Below are 21997 nucleotides of genomic sequence, written 5' to 3'. Positions count from 1 at the left end.
CTCAGTGTGATGGTATCAGATGGAAATGTTTTGGTTGGGAAGCCAAAATGCTACCACCACATTTTCTTCCAAACTAAAGAAACTCCAAAAAAGCAAAATCCATGTAACTGGAAAACACTAGTTGATTAGAATTTCCTGATACTTGAGTTCTAAGAGAAAGAGACAAAACCACACACACAAACCTAATAGAAGAATATTCCTAAATGTAAACACCTTGCAAATAACTGCGAGGGGATGACTCTTAGAATATCTTCAGCCCAATAAATGTTTATTCCTTAGCACAGGGGCAAATAGCCATGTCAGGGACTGAATTCAGCTCACTCATTGGTGATTTGGCTTGACATTGTGTTTTGAAAAATTCAAAATGGATGCCAACATGAAAAAAGAAACTACATAGAAATTTTCGAATGCCTACAGTGATTAATGTAATGAATCTCCATATAACTTATTGCCCAGATTCAATAATTAGCAAGACTCTGTCATTCTGTTTTATCCTTCCCCTCACTTTTTTTTTTTTTTTTTTTTTTTTTGGCTAGAGTATTTGAAAGCAAATACCAGGACATTATATACTTCTTTTTTAAAAACTTAACTTTTATTTTAAGTTCAGGAGTACATTTGCGGGTTGGTTACATAGGTAAATGTGTGTCATGGGGCTTCATTGTACAGATTATTTCATCGCCCAGGTATTAAGCCTAGTACCCATTAGTTATTTTTCCTAATCTTCTCCCTCCTTCCACCCTTCACTCTCCAATAAGCCCCAGCATCTGTTGGTCCATGTGTTCTCATTATTCAGTTCCCACTTATAAGTGAGAACATGTGGTATTTGGTTTTCTGTTCCTGTGTTTGTTTGCTAAGAGTAACAAATGGAGCCTCCAGCTCCATCTATGTTCCGGCAAAGGACATATTCATAATGTTCTTTTTATGGCTGCATAGTATTCCACGGTGTATATGTACCACATTTCCTTTATCTAGTCTATCACTGACGGGCATTTAGGTTGATTTCATGTCTTGCTATTGTGAATAGTGCTGCAACGAACATACGTGTCCATGTGTCTTTAGATACAATTCACTCATAAATATTTCAGTATTTATCTTCATCAGATAAAGACTTTAAAAAATATGTAACCCCAATCATTTATTACAACCAACAAAATTAAAATTAATTTCTTAATATGATCTGACACCCAATCTGTGTTCGGTCTTCCCTGATTATATCAAAAAGTCTTTTTTTGTTTGTTTGTTTCAAATAGTTGTTTTGTTTGAATCAGATCACAAACTACATTTGTTGGCTACAAGTTTTAAGTCTCTTAATGTATAGCAGTTCCCGTCCTTTGTTTCCATGCCATTTACTTCCTGAAGAATTTTAAAGTTGATAAATACATATGAAAACATGGATTTGTGGCCCCTTTTGAATAAAGGAGAAGAGCTGGCAGCACTGGTTTATACTCCCATAAGGCAACACTTGGCTGGAGCTGAGTAGAGGCTGTGAACTTTAGACACTGCAAGTTTTCTACAGTCCACACCAGTCCCTATTGTACCAACTAGCATGACTCATTTGTGTTGCCTGCGTAGAGCCAATGGGCTTTGAGCAGGCCACCTCTGCCCTACATCTGCTTCTGATAGGCAATAAGAACTGATGCTTGAAAGATGATCTTGAAGTCCTAATCCCTTTCTAGCCATTAAATAGATGCTTAGTTTTGTGCATTACATTGCTTAGGTAGGAATGTAAGCAAAAACGTTTAAAGATTTTTCAACAAAGAATTGAATCAACAATTTTTTTTTTAAATTCTAAGTTAACCTGACAGTTTATGAATTAGCATTTCTCTTTTCTTGAGCGTTCCAGTTAATCTGCTTTACTGCCTTCCACTCTGTAAATATCCTTTTCACCTGTGTGAGGGTTTGAGCCTACAAAGGCCACTGGACACGGTGTCACAAGACCCAGACTTGAGTCCTGGGCCTCTGTGAACAGTGGACCATTATTTTGCTTCTCTGGGTCACCTATGCAGAGTAGAGGTAAAACAGCCTGTCTCTCAGAGTTGTGTGAAGTTCAAATAAGGTAACAGATGTGAAATTAGTTTGTAAACTGTATAACTTTACACTTAAACAAGGTATTACTAGGCATAAGGATATACTGAATTATGCCTAACATCCTCTTTTACACCTCTGTGCATTTACCCTGCTGTTTCCTCTCCCTGTAATGCCCACAAGAATTAATTGTTAGTCATCTGTGGTCCCTGAACACTTTATGCCTGTTTCTTCGCAACGTTTGTCACACTGTGTTAAAGCCATTTGTTCACATCTGTGTCTTTGGTGAGATTCTGAAAGTAAACCACAGTTTATTCAGTGCTTAGCATACAGGTAACCCTTAGTAAATGTCGGATTGGATAAATTTGAATAATTACTACCTGTGTGCCTATCTTGAAGGACAAAGTCCATGTATATACAGTTCTTTAGGTATGTCATCTGGTAACTGACCAGTCCAATGATGATGCCAATGATGAAATAGTCATGAAAATGGAGTTTTGTATTTTTAATTTAAGAAAATGATCAGACTTCTTGAGTACATTTTTTGCATTGTATTTTTAAGCCCATGAACAATGAAAGAATGTAGATGTAGAATGTCTATTATTTAAAAATATTTTTTCCTGCTGGAGAAAACTTAAGCTCCCAGTCATAGTTCTTGGCCCCAGTTCTCTCGTTCTCCTGATTAATTTAGAGCTTCTTGCTCTTTTACAGCTGGTTTGCCATCCACCCGGTCAGCATGAACAACAGTAACCATCTTGTAAACAGTGACAATGTGGGCTATGCATCTTACCTGCTTGAGCAAGAGAAGAACAAAGGATATCTACCTGGACAGGTGAGAATTTATATCATTGAAAGCTTCATCTTGATTCACTGAGTGTCATCATTCATGCTGCATTCAGAAGAGGTGATTCAAATCTCCAGAATAAAGTGTCATCATCAATCTCACATATTGGTATGCTTGAATAGACAGCATTTACCATCCTCCCTAATGTGGAAAGAAAAATAAAAAATGAGTACTAACCATTTGCTTTTTGTGTTACATAGTCCTTATATTCATTGCTTCATAAAGTTATTAGTTGAATAAGGAAGGGCAAAGTTCAAGATTTTTATAACAGTAGGTTTTGATTAAGCTGAAAATATGACAAACTGTTGATATTTACTTTTGTTTTTAGAGCTATACAAGGATTAAGCACCATTTTTATTTTTATTTTATTTTTTGAGACAGAGTTTCACTCTATCACCCAAGCTGGAGAGCAGTGGCACGATCTCAGCTCATTGAAACCTCTGCCTCCCAGGTTCAGCAACTCTTGTGCCTCAGTCTCCTGAGTAGCTGAAATTACAGGTGCACACCCCCACGCCCAGCTAATTTTTGTATTTTTAGTAGAGACAGGGTTTCGCCATGTTGGTCAGGCTGGTCTTGAACTCCTAACCTCAAGTCATCTGCCCACCTCGGCCTCCCAAAATGTTATGATTACAGGCATGAGCCACTGCTCCAGGCCCAAATTTGGAAGACTATATAATGGGATAAGAGTCCCAGGCCCTTACCTACAATTAATATTCCCTTATAAAGATATTAGCTTCCATTAACATTCAGCCTGATCATTTAGCTCTGTCTTAGTTTGTTTTGTGTTAGCAGAATAACTGAGACTGGGTAATTTATAAAGAAAAGAGGTTTATTTTGGCTCATGATTCTGTTGGTTGAAAAGTTCAAGACTGAACAACTCCATCTGGTGAGGGCCTCATGCTATTACCAATAAAATAAAAATTTTCTCAGAATATTGCACATAAATATTCATGACAGAAAACAGACGAGGAGGCCGAATGCAGTGGCTCACACCTGTAATCCCAGCACTTTGGGAGGCCGAGGTGGGTGAATCATGAGGTCAGGAGTTCGAGACCAGCCTGGCCAACATGGTGAAACCCCGTCACTGCTAAAAATACAAAACATTAATCGGGCATGGTGGTGTGTGCCTATAGTCCCAGCTACTTGGGAGGCTGAGGCAGGAGAATTGCTTGACCCCAGGAGGCAGAGGTTGTAGTGAGCCAAGATCGTGCCATTGCACTCCAGCCTGGGGGACAGTGCGAGACTCCGTCTCAAAAAAAAAAAAAAAAGAAAGAAAACAAGAGGAACTAGGATGTGCAAAGAGATCACATGTGAAAGAGGAAGCAAGAGAGAAAAACTGAAGAAGCCAGGCTCTTTTTTAACAATCCTGCTCTTGCAAGAACTACTACAATCCATTCCCTAGAGAGTGAGAAGCCACTCATCCTGTGGGAGGGCATTATTCTATTCAGGAGGGATCAGTCTCTTCCTGCTAGGCTACAGCTCTCAGCAATGCCACAATGGAGATCAAATTTCAACATGAGTTTTGGCAGGAATAAACCACATCCAAACCAAAGCAAGCTCCTTTGTTGGCAAAACTCACTCTTACTATTTTCTCACTTTAGCCTGCATTTTAGGGAAAAGAAGAGAGTTTTCTATTTATGATCACTGCCTGAGTGCTAGGCACTATGAAATAAATTATCTCTTTAGTATCAAAAAAGATTTATATCTCCAATACTTAGTTATCTCTTTCCCTAAGAAAATTAGAGCCATTTAAGGTAGAATGGTAGAGTGGTTGGGTTGAGGCAGAGGACTTGCATGGCTCTAATTATGTTGAAGAGAGAGAGAAAATATACATCAAGGGCAAGTCCAGATTGTGGATGGTATATTTAGTTTCATTGTGCAACAGGAAAGTCTGTATTTGCTTTTTTCTGTTTAAGCCAAGAGCATATTTATTTTTAAAGGGCAAAGGGATCTCTGAGCTCCAGATAAAACACAATAGACTAGATTGACTGGTCAGCATTTTATAATTTGTTGTTGCACACAGTGTTTCTGGTTAAAATATTTCTGTTTGAGGCATAATTTGAAACTCTCCCACTTGAATCAGTGATAATTGGAATATTTTCAGTAATAATATGTATACCGACTGTAATGTGAGCCTTTACAGGAATAAAAAGTTTTCTCAGAATATTTTTTTCTGGATTTTTTTTTTTATTATTATACTTTAAGTTTTTGGATACATGTGCAGAACATGCAGGTTTGTAACACAGGTATACACGTGCTATGGTGGTTTGCTGCACCTATCAACCCATCATCTACCTTAGGTATTTCTCCTAATGCTATCCCTCCCCAGCCCCCCACCCCCTGACAGGCCCCAGTGTGTGATGTTCCCCTCCCTGTGTCCATGTGTTCTCATTGTTCAACTCCCACTTATGAGAACATGTGGTGTTTGGTTTTCTGTTCTTGTGTTAGTTTGCTGAGAATGATGGTTTCCAGCTTCGTCCATGTCCCTGCAAAGGATATGAACTCATCCTTTTTTATGGCTGCATAGTATTCCATGGTGTATATGTGCCACATTTTCTTTATCCAGTCTATCATTGATGGGCATTTGAGTTGGTTCCAGGTCTTTGCTATTGTGAATAGTGCTGCAATAAACATACGTGTACATGTGTCTTTATAGTAGAATGATTTATAATCCTTTGGGTATATACCCAGTAATGGGATTGCTGGGTTAGATGGTATTTCTGGTTCTAGATCCTTGAGGAATCATCGCACTGTTTTCCCCAATGGTTGAACTAACTTCAAACTATACTACAAGGGTACAGTAACCAAAACAGCATGGTACTGGTACCAAAACAGACATATAGACCATTGGAACAGAACAGAGGCCTCAGAAATAACACCACAGATCTACAACCATCTGATCTTCGACAAACCTGAGAAAAACAAGCAATAGGGAAAGGATCCCCTGTTTAATAAATGGTGTTGGGAAAACTGGCTAGCCATATGCAGAAAACTGAAACTGGACCCCTTCCTTACACCTTATACAAAAATTAACTCAAGATGGATTAAAGACTTAAATGTAAGACCTAAAACCATAAACACCCTAGAAGAAAACCTAGGCAAATACCATTTAGGACATAGGGATGGGTAGAGACTCCATGACTAAAACACCAAAAGCAATAGCAACAAAGGATCCCCTATTTAATAAATGGTATTGGGGAAACTGGCTAGCCATATGCAGAAAACCGAAACTGGACCCCTTCCTTACACCTTATACAAAAATTAACTCAAGATGGATTAAAGACTTAAACGTAAGACCCAAAACCATAAAAACCCTAGAAGAAAATCTAGGCAAATACCATTTAGGACATAGGGATTGGTAAAGACTTCATGACTAAAACACCAAAAGCAATAGCAACAAAAGCCAACATTGGCAAATGGGATCTAATTAAACTAAAGAGCTTCTGCACAGCAAAAGGAACTATCATCAGAGTGAACAGGCAACCTACAGAATATTTTATATCCTCTTTTTATTGCCTGCAAATGATTTTGAATAGTTTGCCAGAGTGGATTTAATGTTTGTATTTCTAATGGCATTCATTACAGGAAATAGGAAAGAATAAAAGGCAACTTGGCATTTCTTTTGGCAGGGGCCATTTGTAGCAGCCTTTGCTTCATCAAACCTAGGAGATGTGTCCCCCAACATTCTTGGACCACGTTGCATCAACACAGGAGAGTCCTGTGATAACGCCAATAGCACTTGTCCCATTGGTGGGGTAGGTAATTATGACACATGAAATCTTTGTTTTTGCATCTCAAATACATTTTATGTTTGAATATTTATCATTAATTTACAAATACCTTGTCTTCTAGTATACACTGGCCTAGTTCTCCCTAGCATCTGCTCTTCTCAAAAGCACCTGTCCAAACCCAGTAAATTTTAACTGAGTGAAGTTATATTTTTCCATTTGAGTGACTGTTAAGGTTTTTGAATGGTGAGACAATTCAGTAACTGTCAGAGATTAACTCTACCCTTCCCCAAACTTGTTCAATCTGAAACATTTTGCTTTGGCATTTCGAAAGTCACAAGTTTGTAGTAAAAATTGCCTGCCTGAGACATTTCTCATGGATTATAAAGTTTATAGGGTTTTTAATATAAGACCTAAATTGCTTCTCCTTTCTTAAAAATTACAAGCAAAAAAATTGCTGTAAAAATTCAAATAATGTGGAAGTACAGAGAATAGTAAAAAGTGAAAGTCCCTCTTCGCCTCCCTTTCCTCTATACTTTGCTCTTCCCAGAAGTTACTATTCTCATACCTCCTCCTATGTATTTACCTATGCATTCATAAACAACATTATATGACTTATTTATGGATTTTGAGTTTTGTATCCAGGACTTGAGTTTTCCACTTAATTTGTCTTAGAAACTTTTCAATGAGTATATCCAGATCTGTGTGATATGTTTTAAAGACAGCAAGTTAGGCTATACCATCATTTATTTAACTCCCACAATGTTCATTTAGCTTTGTTTTCAACTTTGACATGAGCAGTAGATGCTACTTTTTGGGTTCTTATTCTTTGTGTTTGTAGAACATTTCACCTGTGATAATGCTTTTTTTGTATACTATTTCTGGGATGTTTATTCCATCCCAGTCAACTCCACCCAATGGGGTTAAACCAGTATTAATAAAGATTTTTTTCTTATCGACTTTTTAAAGCTCCTAATATATTAAAGTCTTAGTTTTGTCAAAATAGTACAAAGTTTTCCTAAAGTTTATCAGTTGTCTTTCTGTCTTATTTATGTCTTTTGCCCCCTATGGAAATTTAAGATGTTTTACCTGTCCAGTTTAACTAAGCTTGTTCTAGATAACTTTCAGGAGGGTCTGCCCACACCCTCATACTACAAAATATGTTTATCCATATTTTCTTTTAGTAATTTTTTGATTCCACTTATAATATTTAAGTGCTTGATCAATCTCAATTTTTTCTGACATAAGAAGTAGGAAATAGAGCCAGATTTGTTTATTGATTTTTTTCCCCAGAAGTCCAGCTAGTTGTTCCAATATAATTTTAATCGAGTTTCAGTTTAAGGTGATCATGAGTAAGAATCAGAGGCAAGAACAAGCAAGTAGAAAGATGTGCAGTCAATAGAAAGACCTGGCTTCAAGTCTTAGCTCAGATATTAGATACCTGCATAATCAGCAACACATCTTTTAACCTGAGCCTCAATTTCCTTATTTTTAAAAGAAAGGCTCCAGAATAGATCATTTCTAAAGACATTCACTCTTCTAATTCCAGGTATGATTTTGTTTTTATAGTTTGTACTTTGAGAGACTACCTGAAAAGAAATGCAAGAATGTGGTTTTAAAAATCTATTTGCTTAGATTCAGTTATAATTCTTTATTCCTTAAAATAATTTCTTACTTGGCCAAGAATGCATCATATCTTATTTTGTTCCAGCCTAGCATGTGCATTGCTAAGGGACCTGGACAGGATATGTTTGACAGCACACAAATTATAGGACGGGCCATGTATCAGAGAGCAAAGGTAAGCCATGGGCCTCGCTCCTTTAATCTTTGTTTAAAATTGTCCTTTAAAATCCATTGACTTGGTTCATTAGGAAGTTGAATACTTAAAGAAAACAGCAAATGCTCAGGTTGTGCTGGGGAGTCTAGAAGAGGTCAGCTTGGGAGGTGGCCTTTGCAATCCACATGGGAACCTCTGTCTGACTGCTCAGGTCTGACTTCTTATAGGAAGTACATTTAAAACCAAGTAATCAGGAAAACATTCTATTTTAGAATGTCTAGAAAGCCAGAGTGCTTGCTTAGACACTAGGAACATAGACTATAAGATTTTCAATTTCTTGTGGCATTAGATATGACCAGATTGATTCAAATTCTCAGAAGTCTTTAAGGCCTTTGCTTGCCAAAAGTCACCCAACTATCTCTTAACTTTTCCTTTGGTGACAAGAGAAAGCTGAGCCATAGAACTCCAGTTCTTGAAACTTGGATTTAGATTAGTTCCTGGTGTTCTTCAATATGCAAAGATCATCCAGCTATTCTTTTCTTTTTACAAAACTTTTTGATGAAGCTCTCTTCATCAAATCTGGTCTCCAGTGAGATTACTATGAATTACTCTGATTTCCTCCCCCTCCTAAATTTTATTTCCCATTTTGTCCCCATATTTTGTTTCAGCTTCTATGGAGACATATTTCTAGGCAAAAAGACAAAAAAATTACCTCGAACTGAGATGTCCTTGATATGGTTAAATCTCTTTCTTTTCATAGCTTATTCATACCTTTGCTGCGTGTGTGTGTGTGTGTGTGTGTGTGTGTGTTTAAATAGTTTATTCCAAGGGTTCTAAAATCTTTCAAGAGCAACTAAGGAAGGACAAAAGCACCTTTAAAGAACAATCTGACACAAAATTGGTAGCAACAGCCAGCCTAATCGCTGCAGTTTCTTTTTAATTACTGTGGTATTATCAGTGGATTATTCTAAATTCACAGATTCTATTTAGGGTGTGCACCCATGACACACTTTAGTGTCAGAAATTTTGTTCCCATTCTGAGCCGGAGAGTCATAGAGATTTGACCCACATTCTGCATTCTCTTCTCAGCAAGGCACAACTTCTCTCTTAATTAAGAGTGGCAGGCTGCAGCTGGTCTTGCTGATGACTTATGAGAGCTCTCATGTGGCCATTGAAACTGGGGTGGGGACAGAGTGGAAATGAGCTAAGTGTCAGGCAAGAGAACGTTTGATGAAACAGGATTTGCCTATGTTATATAATGCGAATTAATAAAAACAAAGAGTTTTTTAAACTTGTTTTCACTCATGTTTCCCATAAGATTGAAAAAGCATCAATTGACCATATTAAAACACAAAAGCAAAAGCACCGAAGAGTGGATTGTGGGTGGGCGAAGTGCTGCAGACAAAGCAGGGCTTGAAGTCTTCCAAGCCACCTTTGTCCCCAACCTGCTGCAGGACTCAAGTATTCTGAAAGGAAGACCCTATAAAAACACACAAAGATACACTCTCACTCTAGCAAAGAAAGTATTTTGGTCCAGTTATTCCTAATCTTAAATTTTCTTGGTGATCTTTCAAGTGAGATTGAGGCCTTTTGTGCCACAGCCTGTATCACTATAATTTCACTTTTGTGGGGAGTTGATACAGGTCAACAGCCTCGGAGACTTCAAGCTTTTGGGAAACTCCTGGGTTTGGTAGAGAGAGACCCATGTGGTTGGTGGCCAATTCTAAGCAACCAGCAAAACAAAAGCTTTGCTGAGAGATGCATTTCCAAATTGCATCAAATTGGTACTTCCTGAGTACAGTTGGAGATGATCACTTTAGCCTTTTTGCTTGGAATAATAAGCCTGTGTGTTTTCTAGGAACTCTATGCCTCTGCCTCCCAGGAGGTAACAGGACCACTGGCTTCAGCACACCAGTGGGTGGATATGACAGATGTGACTGTCTGGCTCAATTCCACACATGCAGTAAGTGCTGCTGAGACACACTGGTTATGCCCCAAGGGTGAAGTTTTGGTTTGATCTCATTATTTACTTTCAGTTTAACTTTTGTCTTTTTCATTTTTGTTTTGTTTTTAAAACTTTTCCTTTAGTCAAAAACATGTAAACCAGCATTGGGCTACAGTTTTGCAGCTGGCACTATTGATGGAGTTGGAGGCCTCAATTTTACACAGGGTAAGGTGAAGTCCAGTAAAATCTATGGTTTCAGCTTCTGAAGCTTCTGGGTTCTGTTCTCTGATCAGGTTTCATTGTAGCCAATACATTTATTAATTTTTAAACTCAGGGTCTGCTGGTTTTCCAGGTTTGTACATGACCATGTACCGCACCCGCTGCCCCCAGACCTAAGCAACCACTAATATTTCTGTCTCCATATTTTCCTATTCTGGACACTTAATACAAATGGAATCATATAATATGTGGCATTTTTTGTTGGCTTCTTTCACTTAGCATCATCTTTCAAAGGTTCATTGATATTGTAGCATGCATTTATTTTTTTGAGACAGAATTTTGCTCTTGTCACCCAGGCTGGAGTACAGTGGCACCATCTCAGCTTACTGCAACCTCCACCTGTCAAGTTCAAGCTATTCTCCTGCCTCAGCCTCCCAAGTAGCTGAGACTACAGGCACCTGCCACCACGCTTGGCTAATTTTTGTATTTTTAGTAGAGATGGGGTTTCACCATTTGGCCATGGTGGTCTGGAATTCCTGACCTCAAGTGATCCGCCCGCCTCAGCCTCCCAGAGTGCTGGGATTACAGGTGTGAGCCACTGCTCCCAGCCTCATTCTTTTTTTATGGTTGAATAATATTCCATTGTATCAACATATCAGATTTGTTTAAACCTTCCTCAGTTGATGAACATTTGGGTTATCCCATGTTTTGGTTATTATGAATCTATAAATAGTCTATAAATATTCATGGGATTTTTATGTGGGTGTTTGTTTTCATCTTTCCTCTTGGGTATATATCTAGGAGTGCAATTGCTGGATTATATAACTCTATATTTAATCATCTGAGAAGCTGCCAGACTATTTCTGAAATGGCTGCACCATTTTACATTTCCACAGGCAGTGTATAGTTTTCTGATTTTTTAATGTATTTGCCAATACTTGTTATTATCTGACTTACTGAATCTAGCTACCTTAGTGGGTGTGGAGGGATATCTCATTGTGGTTTTGATTTGCATTTCCCTAATAATTAATGATGTCAAACACCTTTTCATGTGCGTATTAACCACATATATATCTCCCTTGGAGAAATGTCATTTACGTAGTTTTCTCCTTTTAAAATTTGGGTTATTTTTCTTTTTATTATTGAGTATAAATGTTCTTTGTGTATTCTGTATACGTTCCCTTATCAGATGTGTGATATAAAAATATTTTCCCAGCACTTTGGGAGGCTGAGGTGGGCAGATCATCAGGTCAGGAAATTGAGACCACCCTGGTCAACATTGTGAAACCCTGTCTCTACTAAAAATACAAAATTAGCCAGACATGGTGGTGCACGCCTGTAGTCCCAGCTACTCGGGAGGCTGAGGCAGGACAATCGCTTGAAACCGGGAGGCAGATGTTGCAGTGAGACAAGATTGCACCACTGCACTCCAGCCTGGCAACAGAGTGAGACTCTGTCTCAAAAAAAATTTTTTTTCTTCCATTCTGTAGGTTTTTTCACTTTATTGATTGTATCATTTGAAGCACAAACATTCTTAATTTTTATGAAGTCTAAATTTTCTTTTGTTACTCATGGTTTTGTGTCATATATAGGAATCTTTTTCCAGATTCAATGTCATGAAGATTTCCCCCTATTTTCTTATAAGATTTTTATGGTTTTAGCTCTACATTTAAGTCTTGGATCCATTTTTAGTTAAACTTTGTGTATCATGGAGGTAATGGCCTGCCTTTATTCTTTTGCATATGGCTATTCAGTTATCCTAGCACCACTTATTGGAAAGATTATTATTTACCCATTCTATAATCTTGGCACACTTGTTAAAAATTAGTTGACACATGGCTTTATGTCTGGATGATCAATTCTATTCCATTGATCTATATGCCTAACCTTGTGCCAGTATAACCGTCTCTTGGTTATTGTTTCCTTTAAGATCAGAAAGTATGTCTTTCTACCTTGTCCTCCTCTTCCAAGATTGTTTTGACTTCTGAATTTCTTGAGATTCCACAGGAATTTTAGAATCAGCTTGTAAATTTTTACAAAGAAGTCAGCTGGGATTCCGATGGGAATATCATTGAATTTACAGATTAATTTGGGGGAGTATTGCCATCTTAACAATATTATGTAATCTGATCCACGTACATAGATGTTTTAGGATTCATTTAGACCCTCTTTAATTTTTTTCAACAATGTTTTGTAATTTTAAGACAAATACAAAAAATAAATTTTGTATTTTTTGTTGTTTATTTCTTAGTATTTCACTCTTTTCTATGCTATTGTAAATGGAAATTTTTTCTTAATTTCATTTTTGGATTGTTCATAGAAAATGTATAGAAATACAACAGATAGCTGTATTGACCTTATATCCTACAACCTTGCTGAACTCATTTATTAGTTCTAATATTTTAATGGATGATTTAGGATTTTTCTCTATACAAGATCATGTCATCTTAAAATAGAAATATTAATAGTTTTAATTTTTCTTTTCCAATCTGAATGCCTTTTATTTCTTTTTCTTGCCTAATTGCCTGCCTAGAACCTTCAGAACAATGTTGAATAAAAGTAAAAAGAGTGTATATTCTGTGTTGTTCCTAATAGTATGGAAAAAGCATTCAGTCATTCATCATTAACTATAATGTTAGCTCTGGGTTTTTAATCCTTCATCAGGTTGAGGAAATTTACTTCTATTCCTAGTTTGTTGAGTGTTATTATCATAAAATGGTATTAGTTTTTTGGCAAATATTTCTCTCTGTATCTGCTCAGATTATCATGTAATTAAAAAATTATATTAATATGTTGTACTGCATTAATCAGTTTTTGAATGTTTAACCAACTTTGTATTCCTGGAATAAATCCCAGTTGGTCATGTTCTATAACAATTCTTTCTCTGTGTTGCTGTATTCAGTTTGCTAGTATTTTGTTGTAGGTTTTTGTGTCCTATTTATCAGAGAAAATGTTCTGTAGTTTTCTTTTCTTGTGATATCTTTGTCTGGTTTTATATCAGGATAATATTGGCCTCATAGAATGAATCAGGAAGTGTTCCCTTTTCTATTATTTTGGAAAAGTTTTGGAAAAGCTAGTACTAATTCTTTGGTTGGTGGAATTCAGCAGTAAAGCAATCTGGCTCTGTTATTTGTTGTAAGTAGTTAAAAATGTGTTATGAATCAATCTCTTTACTTTTTATAGTTTTTTTTTTTTAGATTGCCTATTTCTTCTTGAGTCAATTTTGGTAGTTTGTCTTTCTAGAAATTTTTCCATTTTATCTAAGTTATCTAATTTGTTAGCGTACAACTACTTATAGTTTTCCTTTATAATTCTTTTTATTTCTTTAAAGTCAGTATTAATATTCTAATTTCTGATTTTAATAATTTAAGTCTTCTCTCTGTTTTTCTTGGTCAATCTAGCTAAAGTTTTGCCAATTTTGTTGACCTTTTCAAAAAACCAGCTTTTGGTTTCATTGATTTTTCTGTTTTCTTTCTACTCACTGTTTAATTGATTTTCTTTCGAATACTGATTATTTCCTTCTTTTTCAACATTTGATTTAGTTTGCTTTCCTTTTCCAATATCTTCAAGTGGAAGTTAGGTTATTGGTTTGAGATTTTTCTTCTTTCTTAATATATGGGCATTTACAACTATAAATGTCTCACTGAACACAGCTGTCACTGCATACCATAAGTTTTGATGTGTTGTGTTTTCATTTTCATTCATGATAAAGTATTTCCAGATTTTCCTTTGATTTCTTCCTTGATTATTAGCTATTTCAGATCATACTGCTTAATTTCTGCATATTTGCAAGCTTCTCCATTTTTTCCTTTATTTTTAATTTCATTTCACTGTATTTGGAAAACATATTTTGTATTATTTCTACTTTGTAAAATTTAATGAGATTTGTCTTTTAGCCAGCACATGATCTACCACAGATAATATTTCATGTGCACGTGAGAAGAATGTATATTCTGTTATTGTTGGGTGGAGTATTCTATAGATTGGTAGGTCTAGTTCAAGTTTTCTGTTGATCTTCTGCCTAGTTGTTCTATCCATGATTGAGAGTGGGTTATTGAAAATTTCAGTATTGTTACTGAAATGTGTATTTCTTTCTTCATTTCTGTGAGTTTTCAGTTTATGTTACACAGACATTTATAATTATTACATTTTTTGAATAGAGTATAGATTCTTAATTCATAAGTTTTATAGTTACAAAACCTTTTACCCCAGATTATGCATATGAAGTTTATTTTTGTTTTTTACTGCTTTGTGTGTGTGTGTGTGTGTGTGTGTGTGTGTGTGTGTGTGTAGATAACTAAATTCAGGAGAAATTATTTCAGGGACCATAAGTCAGACAACTGGTATTGTGAGTTGGAGGCGTAATTTTTCATTTTCAAAACAGGAAAAAAGTGATTTAGTCCACAAATCTGCAGTTAATTATGTCAAACTGTTTTTATTTGCAACATGAATGAGCAGGAGTAATAGAAACAAAACTTTAAGGACATTGACAAAATATACTCTGTCGTTCTCTTGACCACACTGAAGATCTAATTAAACAATGGCTCATGTCTTAGGATGCACAGGACATTTTTCCTATTCTATTACTCAAACTGTTTGGAATCATTGAACAACAACCTCAATAAAATCTCTGAAACTCCTTAAAAGATTATTGTACAATATTTGTCAAGATAATGACTTTTTTGAGAGGGTTGGTTCAAGGAAGTATACTAATTATAACATTTCTAATAGGGAAAACAGAAGGGGATCCATTTTGGGACACCATTCGGGACCAGATCCTGGGAAAGCCATCTGAAGAAATTAAAGAATGTCATAAACCAAAGCCCATCCTTCTTCACACCGGAGAAGTAATGCATTTTCGTTATCATAGTGAAATTAGCATATTGTTATTTTTAAATATGTGAACTGTCAGGTAATGAATGGTAGATATCTACTGAGATGGGAAGTCTTATTTAGATATTCCCATATCAAGTTTTTAATATTAAAAAATGGGTTCCATGACTCTAAGGAATGAAGGTTATGGCAATGAATTATATTGATTTACCTATTGCACTTATGATTAATAAATACAACAATTAGGACAGTGGGAAAGGCAGAATAAGATGAACATTTATCTTACTCAGAATTTATTTTTGTTGGTTCCAAGAAGGGAGTCAGCACCAAATTTTCTGCAGAAGAAAATATTTCAGGTCATCTAAAACAAAACATGTTCCTGTCTAAATTTTCTCACAGTTCAGGCAACATTATCAACTAAAGCAATTTTCTTTTACACTCCTTTGAAACATATATTTTGCATTCTAAATGTCAAAAGGTCATTTCAGTATTCATAAAAACTTGGATTGTTGAGTTAGAAGCATTTTAAAAATACATTTTTCCCTAATATCCTATTAAAATTCTTGAAAGAAGAGAGGAAAGGAAGGAATAGAGGGACAGGCTATAGTATTCTGAATAAGGAAAGGGTTAAATTCTCTTGGGAGAAATCTTGGAAAATAAAGTAAGACTTGGAAACTGTAAACTTAAAGTGCGATTATAATAAAAAGAGAAATTATTAAGTTAAACTATTCCAAATGGAATTCCTTATTTATTGTGTATAAGAATAGTCACCAACAGTACTCTAGGAAAATGTTTGGTTATCTGTTACACATTGTGATTTCACGATGACAGATCCACCAAAAACTTCATTGATTTCTGCAGGTTAATGGGGCTTTGGCATTTGAAATTCTCATGTTATGACTAGGACATAAATGCCCATATAGAATATTTAATACTACATCATAAATTAGAAACTAGAGGAAATTCTGGGACCACTATATGTCTGTTGACCATAGAGAGAGTGTTATCCCTAACATAATTTTCTTGTTTTGGGTTCTCAGCTATCAAAACCTCACCCCTGGCATCCAGACATTGTTGATGTTCAGATTATTACCCTTGGGTCCTTGGCCATAACTGCCATCCCCGGGGAGTTTACGTAAGTTTTTCTTTTTATTACTTAGTTAAAAATGTGTTTGTTGTATGTTCTGTTGGAATTGCTTCTTATCATGAAAAGATCATTCTGTGTTGACCCCTTGGTATCCTACTGTACTGTTTGGTGACAGTGGCAAATATTCCTACCCTCTTTTGCTGGGGCCTCTGAAGAATAACTATCTCTATGCTTATTATTGATGGCTCACCTGAGGCAGACATGAAAATTAAAAAAAACTTATCCCAAATTAAAATGATGCCATGAGTTATTATATCAGTAGAAAGATTTGCAGTCATATTAAAATACAGGTACTTGAAATAATCAGATTAGGTATTAAAAGCATGGAAGAATGTTTTAAAACTCCTTGATATGTTGTCTTCCTATCTCAGTAACTGGCAATTTTATATCTTTCCAGCAGGTCCTATCTCTTGGAGTCATCCTTGAATTCCCTCTTTTTCTGTTTCTTCCTCTTTAAATTCTTCAGCAAATTTTGTACACTCTACCCAACACCTTCTGTCACTTCCCTTCCTGGTCTAAGTTACCACGATCTTTTACACAGATTTTTGAAATAACCTGCTGTCTGGTCTGCTTCATTCTGCCTTTACTCCTCTGCAGTTTTTTTTTCTCAACACAGCAGCTAGATTAAGCCCTTTAAAGTATAAATTAAATAATAACATGTCTTTGCTCAAAACCCTCCAGTAGCTTCTCATTTCATTCCAGGTAAATCCTCAAACTTGCAAGCTCCTACATGATCTGTTCTTCATCAAGCTCTCATATCTGATTTCTTACCTCTCTCCCCTTTACTCACCTCTGATTCAGCCACATTGGCTTTATTACACTTATACAGTAATGTATTTTCTACCTACCTCAGCTTTTATAAACATAGACTGCAACTGATCATTTTGTTGACTCAAGAATGGAAAATAATGATGATTTTTGCCAGTGATAACCACTGATTCTGTTTCCTTCTTTTAGTCAAATTGACTGTTTTCAGTTTAGGATTTATTTTGAAGCTAGGACAGGCAGAAAAAAAGTTCAAGTTTAGCTTTTCATAGTCATTGGGTTCCTACATATTTTACTATTGTGTGATGAGCCAGGGTAATTTTTTGGCTTTCACTGCCAGTGTTTCTGTGTACTCTGCATACGTCTAGTAGGAAAACGTTTACATAATTTTTTTCTTGACTCAGGACCATGTCTGGACGAAGACTTCGAGAGGCAGTTCAAGCAGTAAGTTAAAAATAAAATAACATATCTACATGTTCATGTTTGGTGAAGAGGAAAGTATATCCTATCCCTATGATCCTATATCTAGAGTTCCACATTTCTTGAAATTAATGGCTAAGGTTAATATGAAATATTGGTAGTATAAGAACCAGACTTAAAAAACATAAGGGCATTATCATTAGGTTAAAAATATTTTATTGGTATTTATGTATTAATATTTTAAAATTTGATAATGTTTGTATACATTAAATACTAAGTAACCTCTAAGTACCTCAATATCTTAAATTCCTGTGAACAGTCTAAATAAAATGTATTACATTTTGGGAATTCTGTATTTTATCTGTGCTGTATTTTGAATTTTCTTTATATTCAGGCAGTATTGTAAATGGTTCTAAAATGACATGTCAAAAATGTCTTGTTACTTAGCGCTGGAAATTACTATTCTGGTTAGCTAATAGCCACCCATTAGATTTTGTAATAAGTTGATTTTTTAAATCCCTATTTTAGTAGTAAGAAGTTTCTACATCTGCAACTGTGATCATCAAGGTATTTGTAGATCCATTGACTTGTCCAACTGTAGTGCAGAGTTAGAAAAATTTTATTAAGAAAAATATCTTAAACTAATAGTGTAATCAATGCTTGTGTGTTAAGGATAACAGAATGAAAATATACGTAAAGATGAAGAGTAATTTTATTGGGTTTTACCTTTCTCTCCTAGGAATTTGCATCTCATGGGATGCAGAACATGACTGTTGTTATTTCAGGTCTATGCAACGTCTATACACATTACATTACCACTTATGAAGAATACCAGGTAAAGCAAAACGTTTTCATCATTTAAATGAATTATACCCCAGTAAAGACTATTGTGTCAAATGCAGACTTGCTTTGTAAACTTTCCCAGTCATGTTTCTGAGAGATGATTATGTTTCAGGTATAACAGGTAAGAGGATGATAAGCCAGAGGCCGTATTTAAGAGTTTCAAATACATCATTTTAAGTCCAGGTCAGAATTCTAGTTTTACTGACTTACATTTTCCCTGAAATTAATTATTTTGTCAGGGGCATTGGTAACAAGCCTGGGTTGTGGCATAAAACATTTCTAACACTATTCTTAATGCATTTGATGCCTTAAGCCTCTGTAGCACTGGAGAAAACTCCTACTAGTAGCTGTTTATTGAATGCACTGGTTAAGACTTTGCAAATGTTATTTAAAGTAATCCTCACAGTATATCCAGAAGTAGGGTGTTATTATATTGATATATATCAAGAAACAGAGTCCCAGAGAGTTTGAGGGAGGCTGGTAGCTGGTAATATTTCATTGTTTATAAATAGTCCAGAAAGCAGCCCAAGTACTTTTTAAGTAAAACATGAAAACAGTCCAGAGTCTCATAATTAATAATTTCTGTTAATAATATATCTGCTGGTATATAACAGCAGTGCATACAGAGGCATACAGTCTACCCCTTGGTAAATATTCAGTGATACTAAGAGTAGACTCTGCCCTGCTACCCTCTGTTGGCTTTCCTGAAGGTCCCTGCCTTCTAGGAATTCCCATTGAAAAAGGGATCTTAATGATGCTAAACTTGGATAGGAAGAATTACATCCTTTCTTCACTACCTCTAACTATTATTAAGCATTTCAGTCAATTATAAATATAGGAAACAAACAAATTATTTTAGCAGTACCTCTGTCACCAATAGGCACCACAGATATTTTCATATCACATACAGTGATTGCAGGTCTAGAAATGTCTTTTACTCTTATTGCTATTTTATAATCACAATAGTTATTAGATCCACAGATATATCTTGTTATTCAATAGCATAATAAAGAAGCACATACATTACTGTATCACAACATTGGTTTATTATAGTATGGTAAATATATTTCAACCTAACTGGTTTCCTTTGTCAATTCCATGTATTTTATTTTACACCTTTAGAAACATTATTCTGAGGGAGGTCCTTAGGTCTCAACATGCTGCCAAAGGAGTCCATGTCACAAACAAGGTTAGGAACCCCTACTAGCTTGTCTCCTGGTCCAGGTGAGATGGGAAAGTTCCCTGAACCCCCCTGCAGTATGTGCAACAGGGGTGTGGCTCATCTGTTTGGCTGCTGTATATGCTCAAACCCTTAATGGGAAGGGGAGCATACAGACAGGCAGGTGCAGGAGCCAAGGTAAGTGCTTTTGGGTGCTGGCAGGAGCAAATTCCATGTGGTCCCTGCAGCAGTATCTAGGTATGGGTGCCTGCTACTCCAGAAGCCCAAGTGGGCATGTATTACATACAGTGCACTTTTTTAGCTTTGCTGTCTGCAGATAGCTTAAGTGTTAAACAGCTCAGTGCCCTCTTGGTACCCAGGTCCTTGTCCAGTGTCTAGGAAGAATCAGGTTGCAAATAGACATGAAGGATGAATTCAGGGTTTTATTGAGTGGTAGAGGTAGCTCTCCGTGGGATGAATGGGGAGCTGGAAAGGGGATGGTGTGGGAAGATGATCTTCCCCTGGAGTTTGGCTGTCCAGTGGCCAATCTCTTCTCCAACCATCCACAGCCGAACTCCTCTCAGAGTTCAGATGCTCCTTCTCTTTTCTCTGCTGTGCCATTCTGCCATTCTGCTTTTCTGTTCATCTCCTTGTCTGCTTGTGGAGCTGGGGGTTTGGGGTTTATATGGGTACAGGATAGGGGGGCGTAGTGAACAAAAAGGCAAAACAGGAATGTTTGGTTGCAAAAGCAGAAATGCTTGTTCTTGTTTAGGGCCACAGGTTTCCAGGCTTAAGGGTGGGGCCTTTGCCAGGGAACCACTCTCTTCTACCCAATATTTTCCTGTCTCCTGTCCATATCACAGGGATATACTCCAGCAAGTATTACTATTAATTACTTCATTCATTCAACAGATATGTATTGTGACAGATACTGTGCTAGCCACTTTCTGGGGCATAATGATGAAAAGAATCTGTCCCTTCCCTCAAGATCACTGGAAGCTGGGGGTCTAGTAGGAAGACAGAAAAAAGAACAGATGATTACATTTCCATGAAAGGCATGCACAAGGTGTTATAAAAATAAAGAGAAAGAGCACCAGCCCAGACTGGGTATTTGAGGACTGGGACTGTTCAGGAAGATGTAACATCTGTATGAGTTCTTGACAACAAGTGAGAGTTAAGCAAATAAAGAGTAAGAATGTATCCTATATAGAAGAAACGATATATGCAAAGGTCCAGAGGGCAGGCACATTGATGGACCACAATTCGTTGAGTAGCATGGAGTAAGTATGCGGAGGGTGATGGTAAGGAGATGGTAGCCAGAGTGGGAGACACAGGTTAGCTGATGGATAGTCTTGCATGCTATGCTACTGAGCCTTCACTCAGTAAGGAAGGCTTTGGGGGAACTGCAGTAGGATTCTAAGCAAGAGAATGCTTTGATAAAATTTTGTGATTTAGAAAGGTCAATAGATGGCAGTGTAGAAAATGAATTGGAAGGGCTTGTGTATAGGCAGAGGACTGATTAAGAAGCCATAGTGTAATTAAGATCTGGGCAAGACATGAACATGCACACTTGAGGGTGAAGGCTGGGAGGAGGGAGAGGATCAAAAAACTACTTATCAGGTACTGTGCTTATTACCTGGATGATGAAATAATCTGTATAACCAACCCTCATGACATGTGATTTACCTATATAACAAACCTGCACGTGTACCTCTGAACCTAATACAAATATAAAAAAAGAGATCTGGGTGAGAAATGAGGGTTTGAACTAAGGTGAAATCTATTTGTACCTTAGGAGAAAGTAAGACAGGAAAATGAAAGATCTCAGGAGATTTGAAGGAGACAGAATTACCGGATGTGGAGACTGATAGGATACAGGATGAGGGAGAGAGGAGTCTAAGGTAACTGCCGGCTGATCCTCACATGGGAGACTGGAAAGATGACATTCGCTGAGATGAGAATGTTGTGGAGGAAGCTGGTATGTCTGAAGTGGTGAGGTTGGTTTTAGATTTGATAACTTTGAAATTCCTGTAGAAGAACCAAAGGCCTGGAGGTCAGCTAAAAGATGCATTTGGCTCAATTTCATGGCTTTGTGATGGATTAAATGTCTTTCTCCAGTTAGCACCTTCTAACTATTTATCCAGAAGTTACTAGGACTCTTTATTTTGTTTTATTTTTCTTCTGATATATGCCCTGGGGGAAAGCACTTATATTACAAGTACTTATAATAGACTAAAGCTTAGGAGCTAGCACCGTCTTTCATAGTAAATAGAGTGACAGTCTAAATGGCAT

General features: G+C 36.5%; 1 protein-coding gene across 2 annotated transcripts in view; it reads left to right on the top strand.

Moving 5' to 3' along the window:
• Window positions 1-21997, top strand: part of ASAH2 (N-acylsphingosine amidohydrolase 2) — a 66656-nt gene that overhangs the window by 30150 nt on the left and 14509 nt on the right. The window contains exons 8-16 of one of the 2 annotated variants that reach the window (NM_019893.4): window positions 2737-2857; window positions 6499-6624; window positions 8309-8395; window positions 10233-10337; window positions 10463-10544; window positions 15270-15385; window positions 16412-16506; window positions 17688-17727; window positions 18443-18538. In NM_019893.4, the coding sequence (NP_063946.2) occupies window positions 2737-2857; window positions 6499-6624; window positions 8309-8395; window positions 10233-10337; window positions 10463-10544; window positions 15270-15385; window positions 16412-16506; window positions 17688-17727; window positions 18443-18538 (868 nt within the window). The remainder of the gene's footprint in view (window positions 1-2736; window positions 2858-6498; window positions 6625-8308; window positions 8396-10232; window positions 10338-10462; window positions 10545-15269; window positions 15386-16411; window positions 16507-17687; window positions 17728-18442; window positions 18539-21997) is intronic. The other variant, NM_001143974.3, reaches the window with a different exon arrangement.

Source organism: Homo sapiens, chromosome 10 (genome assembly GCF_000001405.40).
Source record: "Homo sapiens chromosome 10, GRCh38.p14 Primary Assembly".
Classification (NCBI taxonomy): domain Eukaryota; kingdom Metazoa; phylum Chordata; class Mammalia; order Primates; family Hominidae; genus Homo; species Homo sapiens.
The sequence above is the reverse complement of the archived record's forward strand: the minus strand, read 5'-3'. Positions and strand labels throughout refer to the sequence as shown.